The following is a 12,065-nucleotide window of genomic DNA, read 5'->3' on the forward strand; positions in this document are numbered from 1 at the left end:
TGTTCTCTGGCTGCTGCCATCAGTGGGGACTTTTTCAGAGAGCTGCAAAAATAGTTTTTTGTTGTTGTTGTTTGAGGAGCCTACACAGAAGCAGCAGCCAAGGCTTTTTTGCTTCCTTTCTTTTCTGAGGGAATGGGGAAATGCGGAGGGAAGACCTCACAATGAAGGAATGTGCTCCTTGGGGAACTGAAAGTTGTTTTCCTTAAAGAAGAAGAAGATGAAGAAGAAGTCAGCACACTCTAACTTCACATCTAGCCGCAAAGCACATCTGCAGGGATTGCTAACAGCTCCCAGGAGATCGCTGGCTCAAGCCAAGCCTGGTTAGGCTGTTGACAACTAGGTCCTGATGAGCAGAGCCCTAATGAGCAGCTTGCTCACTGTCTGCCCTCCCGGCTCATCCCTCGTTGATGTTCATTGGGCTCATCGAGGCCCTGGGAGACAGTTTTTCTTGCCTGCGATGGATGTTAGGCATGCAGGGGAGCTCACTTTCTCACGGGTGAATGTTTCACTTTTCCCCACTGCTGTGCTCTGGGGTTTTTAAGAGGCTTAAGACAAATCCTAAGACACTAGGGATGGGAAGAGCTTGAGATCTGTGGGTTCCAGCTCCCCCTCTCTTTTCTCCGTTTACAGATGAAGAGGCTGAGGCTTGCGGTGGGGCGGGAGGGGGAAGATAGAGGACAGGGGAGGCAGATGCCGAAGGGTACCGAGCTGGTCCTGGGAAGAGAATGCATCTCTCAACTTCCAGACCACTAAGTCAGAGGTGCAGAAAACTCAGAGAGTGTCCAGCCCAGAGCTTCTTGAACTTGAGTAACATATGCCCTCGTCCCAAAAGGAAACACATTGTCCCAGAACCCTAAGATCAGAATTATGCTCTTGTACTTTATGTTTTTAATTCTTATATAACTATAAGCCCAAAACAAATTAATAAATGAATACAAGCAAAACTACAAAGGTGATCAAAATTCACTTTAACAAACAGGTTAATATGATGAATAATATTGTTTTGCAGAAACAGAATCTCACAGGGCACAGGAGAGGAGCAGAGCACCAGCAGGGGACCCTAACCTTCTTCCTGCATCCATCAGAGCCTTCAGAATGAAGAATCTGGGGGACAGGAGGATGTCAGGGGGAGGGAAGAGGAGCAAGAGAAGGCAGGGACAAGTCAGATGCCAGGCAGAGGAAGCCGAGAGCCTGGAGACTTGGCTGCTCCAAGGCAGCGCACTTATCCTCTTGGGGCCGACCATGTTTCTTCCTTAGGCAGGGCTCCTTGAGGCTGAAATCATCCCTAACAGACCCTCAACGGTCAGGACAGTGTCATGTCACCTGCCAGTGGGAACCTCACTGGGCTCTGCCCACACCCAAGCACTGCTCCTACCTGCCACTTCCTGTCTCCTTCAAGTGGGGACACAGAACAAGCACACTGCACAAGTAAAGCATAGAGCATGTCATAAGGTGAAATGGCTGGTGGCTCCAGCTGGAAACGGGTGGTAAGGGGAGGCCTCAGTGACCAAGTGACATAATGGCAAAGGTTTGGAGGAGGAGAGGAAGCAAGCCATAGGCATTTCTCAGGGAGGTGGTCTGCCCGGCCAAATCCCACCATCTTTCCAGCCTGGTTTAAATGCCTCTTCTTCCAGGAAGTCCCCCAGAGCTGTTTGGCTACACTCTGAATTCCTACAGCTTTTTCCTTAGTGTCTATCACTTCGTACTGGTTCAGACTTGCATTATCTTTCCTACTGGACTCGGAGTTCCTTGAGGTGGGCACTGTGTCTCCTCTTACTAGAATGTCAGCTCCACAGGGTAGAGGTTTTGCTCTATTCACTGCTGCATAACCCCAGGCTTAGCAGGTGCTCTACAGAGGGTAGCGAAGGCTTATGGTGGATAAAGGAAGGGATGAGGATGGTCTCTTTGCAGGACGTGAGCTCTTGATGGCAGAAACCTCACCAAACTTATCTTTCTTCTTTTTTTTTTTTTTTTTTTTGAGATGGAGTCTCGCTCTGTCACCCAGGCTGGAGGACAATGACGTGATCTTGGCTCACTGCAACCTCCGCCTCCCAGGTTCAAGCGATTCTCCTGCCTCAGACTTCCAAGTAGCTGGGATTATAAGTGTGTGCCACCACAACTGGCTAACTTTTTGTATTTTTGGTAGAGACAGGGTTTCGCCATGTTGGCCAGGCTGGTCTCAGACTCCTGGCCTCAAGGGATCTACCTGCCTCAGCCTCTCAAAGTGCTGTGATTACAGGAGTGCGCCACCGTGCCCAGTCACCAAACTTATCTTTCTAACCAGCCCCATTACAGTGCCCGGCTCAGCTCGAGTTCTGTCCAGTGTAAGAATGACTGTTGACTTGAATCCATTGCTCCCAACTCAATTGATCAGGTTGGGGAACCCAATGCCAGAGAAAAGATTGTGGATTCAAGACAACCACAAGTTCTTGGCAGTCAGGGCAGCTGTGCCTTTGACATGACCAACTCTGTCTCTGGATCCACTGTTTTTTTCTGGTCAAAGCAGCTGACTAAATAGCTGAGCAGGTCTTGGTCCAAACAGAGGAGTGGACCTTCATTCACTCAGTAAGTACTTATTGAGTGTCTACTGTGTACTAGGGATTGTTCTAGCGGCTGGGATATAGCAGTAAACAAGGCAGGCAAAAATCCCTGACCTCATGGAACTGACCTTCTAGTGTATGGGAGACAGAAACCAAGCAACCAGTGATATCTATAGTATGGCAGATGATGGTAAATGCCATTGAAAATAAAGCAAGGAAGAGGTAGATAATACTGAAGGGGAAGGGTACAAACTTCATAGAGTGTGATTAGGGACAGCCTCACTGAGAAGGGGACATAGAAACACCAGAAAGGGGTGAGGAAGTGAACCCTGAGGCTACCCGAGCTAAGGGCATTTCAGGCACAGTAAACAGCCAATGCAAAGGCCCTGAGGTGGGAGCCTGCTGGGTAGGTTCAAGGAATGGCAGGGAGCCCTGTGTGGTGAGAGCAGAGTATATGGGCTAGGGCGGGGGATGAGGTTAGAGAGGAAATGGGGGACCAGATGTCAACTTTTGCTCCTACTCGAATGTTTCAGTTCTCTATTTCTGTATAAGAAACCACCCCAAAATGTAGTGGCTTAACACAACCATTTAATATTCTTTCTCATGTTTCTGTTAGTTGACTGGGTTCAGCCGGGTGGTTCTTTAGTGGGTTCCCCCATGGGGCTGCAGCCAGCTAGAGGCTGGGGCTGGAGGCACCCATAAGGTTCTGCTGAGAGCCTTCTTCACTCATATGTCTGGCACTGTGTTGCTTTCTATGTGGCCTCTCTCTTCAGCAGAACCCACCGGGGTTTCTCACTTAGCAACTAAAGGCTTCCAACTGGCCGGAAGCCTAAACAGCCAGTCTCCATAAAGCACAGCAGCACTTCTGCAGGGCTCCATTAGCCAGAGCAGTCACAGGCCAGCCCAGGTTCCCAGCAATGGAGGGACAGACTCCACCTCTCCATGCATGCAGGGAGGGAAGGAATTCATAGCAGCCACGAACATCCGAGCAAAAGAATTCAAGCGGAGGTTTTAAGCAGAGAAATGACATATGTCCTGCTTTAACAGGACACCTGGCCAATGGTGTGGAGATATGTCATGCCAGCCTCCTCCTGTTTTTTGTTGACAACCCTCGTGACCTTTTTCCCTCCCCACTCTCCCTTTCCACTCTGACCAAGAGTCAGGACTAAACCCTACCCCCTGGGCACTGCCCTCTGCACATGTGTTAAGAAGGTACACAGAGCATGTGCTGAGATGGTGCACACAGCGGGTCTCAGGGAGAGAGTGCCCTTATCTGGCATCTGCCCAGCCCCAAAGACTCGGTTTTCCATAATTGGGATGGCCACTTGAATAGAGGAAGGTAGAAGGAAGATTGCAGGAGAGTCTGAAAGAGCTTCCTGCCTGGATGCCTCATCACTGTCCTCTGGATCCAATGTCCTGCTGGTTAATGGTGGCAGTGCTAGCACTGTGAATGGGAGGCGGGGAGGAACTCTGGATTCTTCTTATTCCCCTGGTTGGCCCTTTCTGGAGCTGCTGTGAGTACCACCCCAGGGGGGCACCATTCATGCTGTGTCTGTTTCCACTAGGAGAGTTTCCTCATGGCAGTCTAGTTTCCACTCTTCCTCCCTTTCTCTAACGGGTGCCACACCTACTTTGGAACAATCTGAACAGCCATAAATAGGGACTCCAGATTCAGGAATGCAGAGCTTCATGTAGCAAGCATCCAAGGTTCCATCCTATCCGGCCAAGAAGCAGCTAATCACTGGCCTGCAGGGCTGTCCTGTCTGCACTCGGGTGGTGTGTGCACCAAGGAACTGCTGGGCAGATTCCACTTGCAAGGAGGGAGGGCTCCAGTGCCTGGATACCAAGATCTGGGCTCTATATGCCCTTGCCATCTGACCCTGACTAGAAGGAGCTAGAAGTGCACTGTGCTGGACCAAGGGAGGCCAGTGGCTCCAGCTGAGAGGTTGACAGCAAGAAGCCCACCAGGCTGGCAGCACAGCAGGAAGAGCTGGCTTACACAGGCCAGCCCTATAGGTGGCCCAGTTATCACCTCCCAGATGCTAGTCACTGAGCTCTCAGGAGGCAGCGGACACAGTGGTTCAGAGCTTGGGTTTTGGGGTCAGTTGGCCTGGGTTCAAATCCCATGACTGTTCTTTTTTTTTTTTTTTTTTTGAGACGGAGTCTCGCTCTGTTGCCCAAGCTGGGGTGCAGTGGCGTGATCTCGGCTCACTGCAAGCTCCGCCTCCTGGGTTCACGCCATTCTCCTGCCTCAGCCTCCCGAGTAGCTGGGACTACAGGCGCCCGCCACCATGCCCGGCTAATTTTTTTGTATTTTTAGCAGAGACGGGGTTTCATTGTGTTAGCCAGGATGGTCTCGATCTCCTGACCTTGTGAACCACCAGCCTCGGCCTCCCAAAGTGTTGGGATTACAGGCGTGAGCCACCGCACCCAGTGACTGTTCTTTCTGTTGGCAAGATTATTTTTTTCCCCACTAAGAGCCTTAGTCTTCTTATCTGTAGAGTGGGTTTACTTCCCTGGGTGATGATAAGGATTAGTGAGATAGAGTTTGTATGCACTCCTTGCATGGCAGTATTAAAGAATTAACGATTGCCTGACTTTCTAATATCTGTTCCCAGTGGCCTGACCCCTAAGCTCTTGCTTTGCCTTCCCTTTTTATCTTTATTCCTTTTCCCTAGACCAGCCATCCAAAGGGGTATGGAATCTTCCAGTGACAACATCCCTCGATCCCAGGGTCACCTCAAATGGTTAATTCAGTGGGCGATGTTTTTAATGAAGGGCATAGGGTGTCGTCTGCATTGTACCATCCAAAGGTGTGAGTAGGGCCAAATGGAGCCTTGGGAGACTTTTTATCCTGGAAAGTCTATGAATTCATGAAATCCACATTACTGTCATTACAGGGCCACCACAATGGGCAAAAGTTCCTCATGGGGAGACCGCAGTGTTGTGTGCAGTCCCAATAGTGTGATACCACCAGGGGGTGCTGCCCAGCTGGTCTCTGCCCCAATTCTCAGCAAGGCTGAGGAAGGCAGAAGTGAGAGCCCTTGGAAGACAGGTTTGACCCCTAGGCTGGTGGGGCGTGGGCAGCCAGCCTGGACCTGGAAGGTCTGCAACCTGGCAGGCTGACAATGGCAATAGCAGGGACTCCACATCAATCGGCCTCTTTACAATTTGTCGCCTGTTCCCACACACACCATTCCATCTCAAGACTCAAGAGATGATGCCCAGATAGTGAACAGAGGCTCAGAGAAGTCAGGGAGCTGCTCAAGGTCACACACCTGGTACGTGACAAGGTGAAGATCCCTCTGGGCTTGCCTGTTGCCAACTCTGGGGCCCTGGCATTTGGCCAGCGGGAGAGGCAGCATGTTGAGGAGAAAGAGCCTGTCTGGAAGCCTGTAGCCCGGCTTGGAGCCCTGCTCTACCTCCACCCTGCATGGCTGATCATTCCTATCCAATCCCTTCGCCTCCTCCTGCCCCATGGGATCTCGGTGACCTTCTCCTCTATTTGGGGGGAAGTTGGCACGGGGCTTAGGATCAGTATGAGTGGATCCTTTGGTATTCAGCCAAGATGTGATTTTCCCAGACACAGCTTGGCCTCTTTAAGGACAAAATTCAGTCCTGCTAGAGACTTCTCACACAACCTCACCAGCCACGGGCACCCCAGTCTTCAGCTACACCCAAGTCTGGGATGCAAGGGGGCCTTAGCAGCTGGCTGACCCAGGATGCCCAAGGTCACCATTCCCTAGACTCTAGGCATCATGCCACATGCTGCACATGCTGCGTCTTTGAGTCCTTGCAGCCGTGTGAGGCACGGTATCATTACTCCCGTTTTACAGAGGAAGCTACTGAAGCTCAGAGAGTACCTGAGCAGCCCTGGAGAAGGAGTGTCACTTTTCCTCCATCTCTGCCACTGACTGGCTGGATGCACAGGAGGACTGGGTCTCCAGACAGGAGTGTAAAGGGCACGAGGGTTGCTTGTCCTTATCAGAGGTTTCCTGAGCACCAGCCTTTAGAGACAGGGAGGAAGGCAAGAGTGCGCCTTTGAGGAACGCACAAGCCCAGGAGTTCCAACAGGGCTGCAGTGGAGGCTAAGTTGCAGCAGGACTTTTGAGCAAGCATGCACACAGGCCAGCAAGAGCAATTGGAGGCTATGGTGAGCAGGGAAGGTTCGCGGGAGGAGGGGGACCGGAGCTGTTCATCGAAGGGTGAGGAAGAGTGTGCGTTGCAAAGGGGAGCCGTGGGAGACCTGGGAGCAAAGGCCAGAACTTTAGGGTTCGAGGCTGAGCAGGGAAACGACAGGAGAATGAGGGCTCCTCTTTGGCAGCACACACCTGGTCTCCAGGACAGAGATAAGGTGCAGGAATATGCAGGTGTCCAGGGAAGACGATGTCTCCGGGAGCACATGCTTTATGATGCTGGCACCCACCTTGGTGGCAAAATGAGATTTTGCATTTACTATATTCAGAAAACTGCATGCCTCAGTGTGTGTGTGTGTGTGTGTCTATGTTTGAAGTCTTATGTCAAAGTCCTTTGACATCCATCTCTTTGTCCTTTCCCAGCTACCCTGAGAAGGTTGGCTGGAAATATCCTCAAAGACAGAAAAGAGTGACGGTGGGAGGAAACGTCTTGCTCGTGGTCATGGGGTTCCGTCGTTGACAAACCAAGGCTCAACCGGGGCTGCTGGCTGGAGCTCCATGCTCCTGCCCCCAAAGCTATGCCCAGATCCCCATCCCACCTCCCAGCACCCTGCGTGCCATCTGCCTCCTCCACCCCTAGGCATTCTCCCATGGAGGAGAGAAGCACTCCACTCTGTGTGAGCCCTTGTGTTTTCATCAGAGTTCAAGGCCAGGGTCAAGGGTCCATCTTCTCCCAAACCACCTTGCTGGCTTTTAGTGTCCACCTTCCTTAAGGAGTAACAGTCACAGAGAAGGGACCAGCAAGGAGTGAAGCCCTGTTCTGAGCCTCGGAAGGGAGCGGCTGGGAAGCAGTCCTCTGGCAAGGACATCTGAGGGCCTACTAGTTTGACCCCTTCTTTCCAGAATCTCCAGTGGAATGGCACTGATGACTGAGGGTCTGGGGGGTCTACCTCTGCCCCTTGCCAATAACCGTGGGCACCTGCAAAGCTCTCACCTGGTGCCAGGCACTGCTCTGAGTGCCTTGCGCATACACGCTTTTCACACCGCCTGGGGAGGAAGGTACGATTATGACCCTCGTTTTACAGGTGAGGAAAGGGAGGCACAGAGAGGTTAAGTGACTTTCCCAAGGTCATTCAGTGAGTGGCAGAGCTGGGGTTTGAGCCCAGGAAATCTGCCTCAAGTAGCTGTTTTGCCTCAATAAATAATACTAACAACAACCACAGCTACCATTTGACGACCCGTTCCTATGTGCCTAGTGCTTTAATTCCTCAGAGCAATGCTGTGACTTAGGCGTTGTTCTCCGAATTTCTCATTTCACAGATGAGTAAATCCCGGTTTAGCAGGGCGCCTGGAGTGAGGTGACTGCGGAGGCTCGCAGACGTTAGGTCTGCCTAAATCCGAAGCTTCCACCCTCCTCTGCCTCTGTGACTTGCTGCGTGACTTTGGAGCTTTCGGAAACTCAGTTTCCCTGTCTTAAGCCCTCTGCTCCTCTTGCTTTCCCGCTCCAGCAAGTGAGAGTGGACTGGGTTGCCGTGCCGGGCGGGTGTGGGTCGCCGGGCAACTCCGGAGTCTCCCCTTCCCCATCGGCCCCCAGCAGAAGTCCCAGCTCCCGGCGTTTTCTGTCTCGTGGCGAGTTGGGGCGGAGGGAGCGGCGGGAAGGTGCCGGGTGGGCAAGGTCGGAGCTGCGTCACCGAGAGGCCGGCAAGGCCAGGGAGAAAAGGCCCCGCTGTGATTTGGGGAAGGGCCGGGGGCCCATAAGTCACGTGCTCGGGGCGGTTGTGCAGGAGCGGACTGTCCTCTGGGAACATAGAAGCGCCCCCGACTAGAGTAGGGGCGGGGAGGGAGCGCCGGAGGAGGCAGGTTCTGGGCCAAGGGGATGGGGGTGGGGGGGAGGTAGGGAGCCCGCGGACAAAGGAGGCGGCCGGCGGCCCAGCTGTTTTGAAAAATGCTTCCTGTTTCTTTAAAGGCGCTCGCGGCTCGGGCGGCCCGGGCTGGGGAGGCGGTGGCGGCGGGAGCTGCCTCCTCTCCGGGCGGCGGCGCTGACTGATCTCGCGAACTGGGCTTCTGTGTAAACTGAGGCTAAACAAACACAGATGGAGCGCAGCGGGCGTTCTCCAGAAATGCTGGCAAGGAGGCAGCGACTTCAGATGACACTCTGAGCGCTCCGGGAACGGACAGCCCGGCGGCTTCCCGAAGCCGGCGGCGCAGCTGCCCGGGGCGAGGGGGAGAAAGGGAGAGAGGGAGGGGGAGGGCGGGCGAAGCGGGAGAGCCAGAGACTCCTCGGCGCTGAGCGCGGCGGCGGCCCGGGCAGCCCCACGCCCCTGCCTCGCGCGCCGCCCGCGCCATGAAGCACATCCCGGTCCTCGAGGACGGGCCGTGGAAGACCGTGTGCGTGAAGGAGCTGAACGGCCTTAAGAAGCTCAAGCGGAAAGGCAAGGAGCCGGCGCGGCGCGCGAACGGCTATAAAACTTTCCGACTGGACTTGGAAGCGCCCGAGCCCCGCGCCGTAGCCACCAACGGGCTGCGGGACAGGACCCATCGGCTGCAGCCGGTCCCGGTACCGGTGCCGGTGCCAGTCCCAGTGGCGCCGGCCGTTCCCCCAAGAGGGGGCACGGACACAGCCGGGGAGCGCGGGGGCTCTCGGGCGCCCGAGGTCTCCGACGCGCGGAAACGCTGCTTCGCCCTAGGCGCAGTGGGGCCAGGACTCCCCACGCCGCCGCCGCCGCCGCCTCCTGCGCCCCAGAGCCAGGCACCTGGGGGCCCAGAGGCACAGCCTTTCCGGGAGCCGGGTCTGCGTCCTCGCATCTTGCTGTGCGCACCGCCCGCGCGCCCCGCGCCGTCAGCACCCCCAGCACCGCCAGCGCCCCCGGAGTCCACTGTGCGCCCTGCGCCCCCGACGCGCCCCGGGGAAAGTTCCTACTCGTCAATTTCACACGTAATTTACAATAACCACCAGGATTCCTCCGCGTCGCCTAGGAAACGACCGGGCGAAGCGACTGCCGCCTCCTCCGAGATCAAAGCCCTGCAGCAGACCCGGAGGCTCCTGGCGAACGCCAGGGAGCGGACGCGGGTGCACACCATCAGCGCAGCCTTCGAGGCGCTCAGGAAGCAGGTACCCGCTCGCCGCCGCACGCCCTCACTGCGCCGGGGGACGACTGCGGGAATGGGTGGGCGAGTGGCCGGGGCGGGATAGAGGTGTGTTTAAGGGGCAAGCTGCCCCGCCCGGTCCGACCCTGGTGCCCAGACAGGTGTGGGCAGTCCTAGGGTATGGATCATAGTTTTCAAAGTGGCTATAAGAGTTGGTTATCTCTGGCCCGAGCACCCCCCGCCCTCAACCCCCGCCTCGGGGGTAACGCTGTCTGCGCTTCTGACTTCAGCCTCCATAGTTCACTTTTATGGCAGCGAGTATTTGCCTGCCGGAGTCCCCTGGGCGCGGTGCGGAGTGGAGAGGGGAAATGTGGGAATCTGTCAGCGGAGGAAGGGGGGAGCCTTCTCCAGTTGGTGGTGGCAAGGTCCGGAACGCTGCGGTGGGACAGTCCGGGGGAGTTGTCAGCCCCTCTTCAGGCCCCAGCGGTGATGCCCCGAACACTCAGGTTGCTTCCGGGCTATGCACTCCTTGCCCTGGCATCCTCAAGAACCCGCGCTACAAGCCTGTGCCCTCTCCCCAGGGGTGGGCTCAGGAATCGGCTGGTGGGAGTCTTTCTAGCAGATCCCTTCCTTTCACCCGTGGTGAAGCAGGCAGCTCTGCCGAGGGGACTGCCTAGGTTGGGGATTCCCTCTGGAGCATCTTCAGAGCCTAGTTCTGGGGTGGGTCCGGGACTTTTTAGTTTGGGGCTGGTGCGGGCTGCCCTCACCAGACAGTGCCCCTGCGCAGGTAGCGGAAGAATACTTAACCCAAGAATTACCCGTGGTGGGGCGGGACAATCGCTTGGGCTTCTAGGCTTCTTATTTTCTTAGCGAGAAGGAGCTCTAGGAAGGAGGTGGTGAGTTCTCTCCCACCCCCACACAGGGCGTGGGGAAGGGTTAGGGTAGATGTGGCTGGTTTGAAGGGTGTTTTTTTTTTCTTTTTATTTGCATACTCTGCAGCTGACTTGCTGTGTGACTCCAGGAATGTTGCTCAACTTCTCTGGGCTTTATCCAGCAACAAAACATTTCAGAAACCATGATCTTCTTTTTGGATCACTCTCCTCTTCCTGCTGGGGGTTGGGGTGGGGTGGGGCAGTAGTGCCTGTGTCCATCCATGGAAAGGAAATTGAATCCTTGGAGGAAAGAGGCCCTATGACTTTTGAGCCAAAGTGTCTTGCTTGGGCTTGGGGAAAGTGGTCAGTGAGGTGGGGTGGGGGTGGGGGTGGGGGACGGGTGGCTGTCACAGACCAGGCTGGGCCTCTGCCCTCATCCACACCAGCTGGAACCCTGGGCGGTGGGTCCAGTGGAGCAGTCAGTCCCACCCTGAGCCAGCAGCTCTGTGTCTGCATCGCTGGGTAGAGGTGGCGGTGCGTGGGGGATCCTGCAACCCACTCCCCAGGACAGAAGGATAACAGAAGGGCAGAGAGATGCCTGTCCACCTGCCCACCTTGCCACTAGGGAAGCCCCTCCTAGACTGGGGAGGCACGTGCCCAGAGCCTCATAGCTGTTGAGTAGCAGGTCAGGGCTGGCACCTAGGGGCTTTGACTGCAGGTTCTGGGCCCTTGTGCTCCTCTATTGCCTCTGTATGCTGAGAGAATACTCATCTGAGTGCTTTGTTACATCTCATGTGCCCACTGACTTTTACTTCATTCAACAATCAATTCCATCTCATTTGATCTAAACATAATCCCTGTCGAAATTGGATTAACTCATTTTATAGTATGGAACACTGAGGCCCAGAGATGGAAGGAGACTTGTCCAAGGTCACCTAGTGGGTTAGGGAAGATAACAGCAGTTTCTGGAATGCCCTCCTGGCCAAATGCTTCCCACAGTGCCATCTGTATCAGCGTCATGTGCCACCCCCCCAGCCCCCAGCCTGTGATGTTTGTTAACAATCAAGGCAGGGTGCACACTTGGCAGACCCTTTGAGATGAGATTGTTCATCCTGGTCTCCTTTTACTTCCCCCCTTACCGTGGGAAGTTCTCTATAAAAAGGGCAAGTTCAGTGTATCTAAGTAGAAGGCACACCCATGCCCTCTCAGGGAGAGCGTGTGTATGCAATGCAAACACACAGGCAGGTACACACACACATGCTCCTTACACGTGCTCAAGAGCACACACAAATGCATGGTCACAGAAGCACCTGTTCCTGTTTGTTTCCTCCTTGCCCTAGCCATTCTGCCCCTTCCCCAGAAAGGCTGCCAGGCCATAGTGGGCACCTGCCTGTTAGCTGGGAAGGAAAGAAATACAGCCAGGACGTTTC

General features: G+C 54.9%; 1 protein-coding gene across 7 annotated transcripts in view, besides 1 other annotated feature; it reads left to right on the top strand.

Moving 5' to 3' along the window:
* Nucleotides 5,491–5,711: a silencer, noted in NCBI's record as "fragment chr2:85977783-85978003 (GRCh37/hg19 assembly coordinates)". NCBI's record gives its function as "represses an EF-1alpha promoter that drives an FKBP-Casp9 reporter gene in an ReSE screen in phorbol 12-myristate 13-acetate-treated (for megakaryocytic differentiation) K562 erythroleukemia cells {active_cell/tissue: K562(+PMA)}" and the evidence as "EXISTENCE:reporter gene assay evidence [ECO:0000049][PMID:32094911]".
* Nucleotides 8,822–12,065, top strand: part of ATOH8 (atonal bHLH transcription factor 8) — a 37,393-nt gene continuing 34,149 nt past the window's right edge. For all 7 annotated transcript variants that reach the window (XR_939732.2, XR_939731.2, XR_939733.3 and 4 more), the window contains exon 1: nucleotides 8,822–9,788. Coding sequence is in view for 4 of the 7 variants with exons in the window: in XM_011533139.2 (XP_011531441.1) it covers nucleotides 9,021–9,788 (768 nt within the window). In the remaining 3 variants the exon portion in view is untranslated. The remainder of the gene's footprint in view (nucleotides 9,789–12,065) is intronic.

The sequence above is a fragment of the Homo sapiens genome, chromosome 2 (genome assembly GCF_000001405.40).
Source record: "Homo sapiens chromosome 2, GRCh38.p14 Primary Assembly".
NCBI classification, from domain to species: domain Eukaryota; kingdom Metazoa; phylum Chordata; class Mammalia; order Primates; family Hominidae; genus Homo; species Homo sapiens.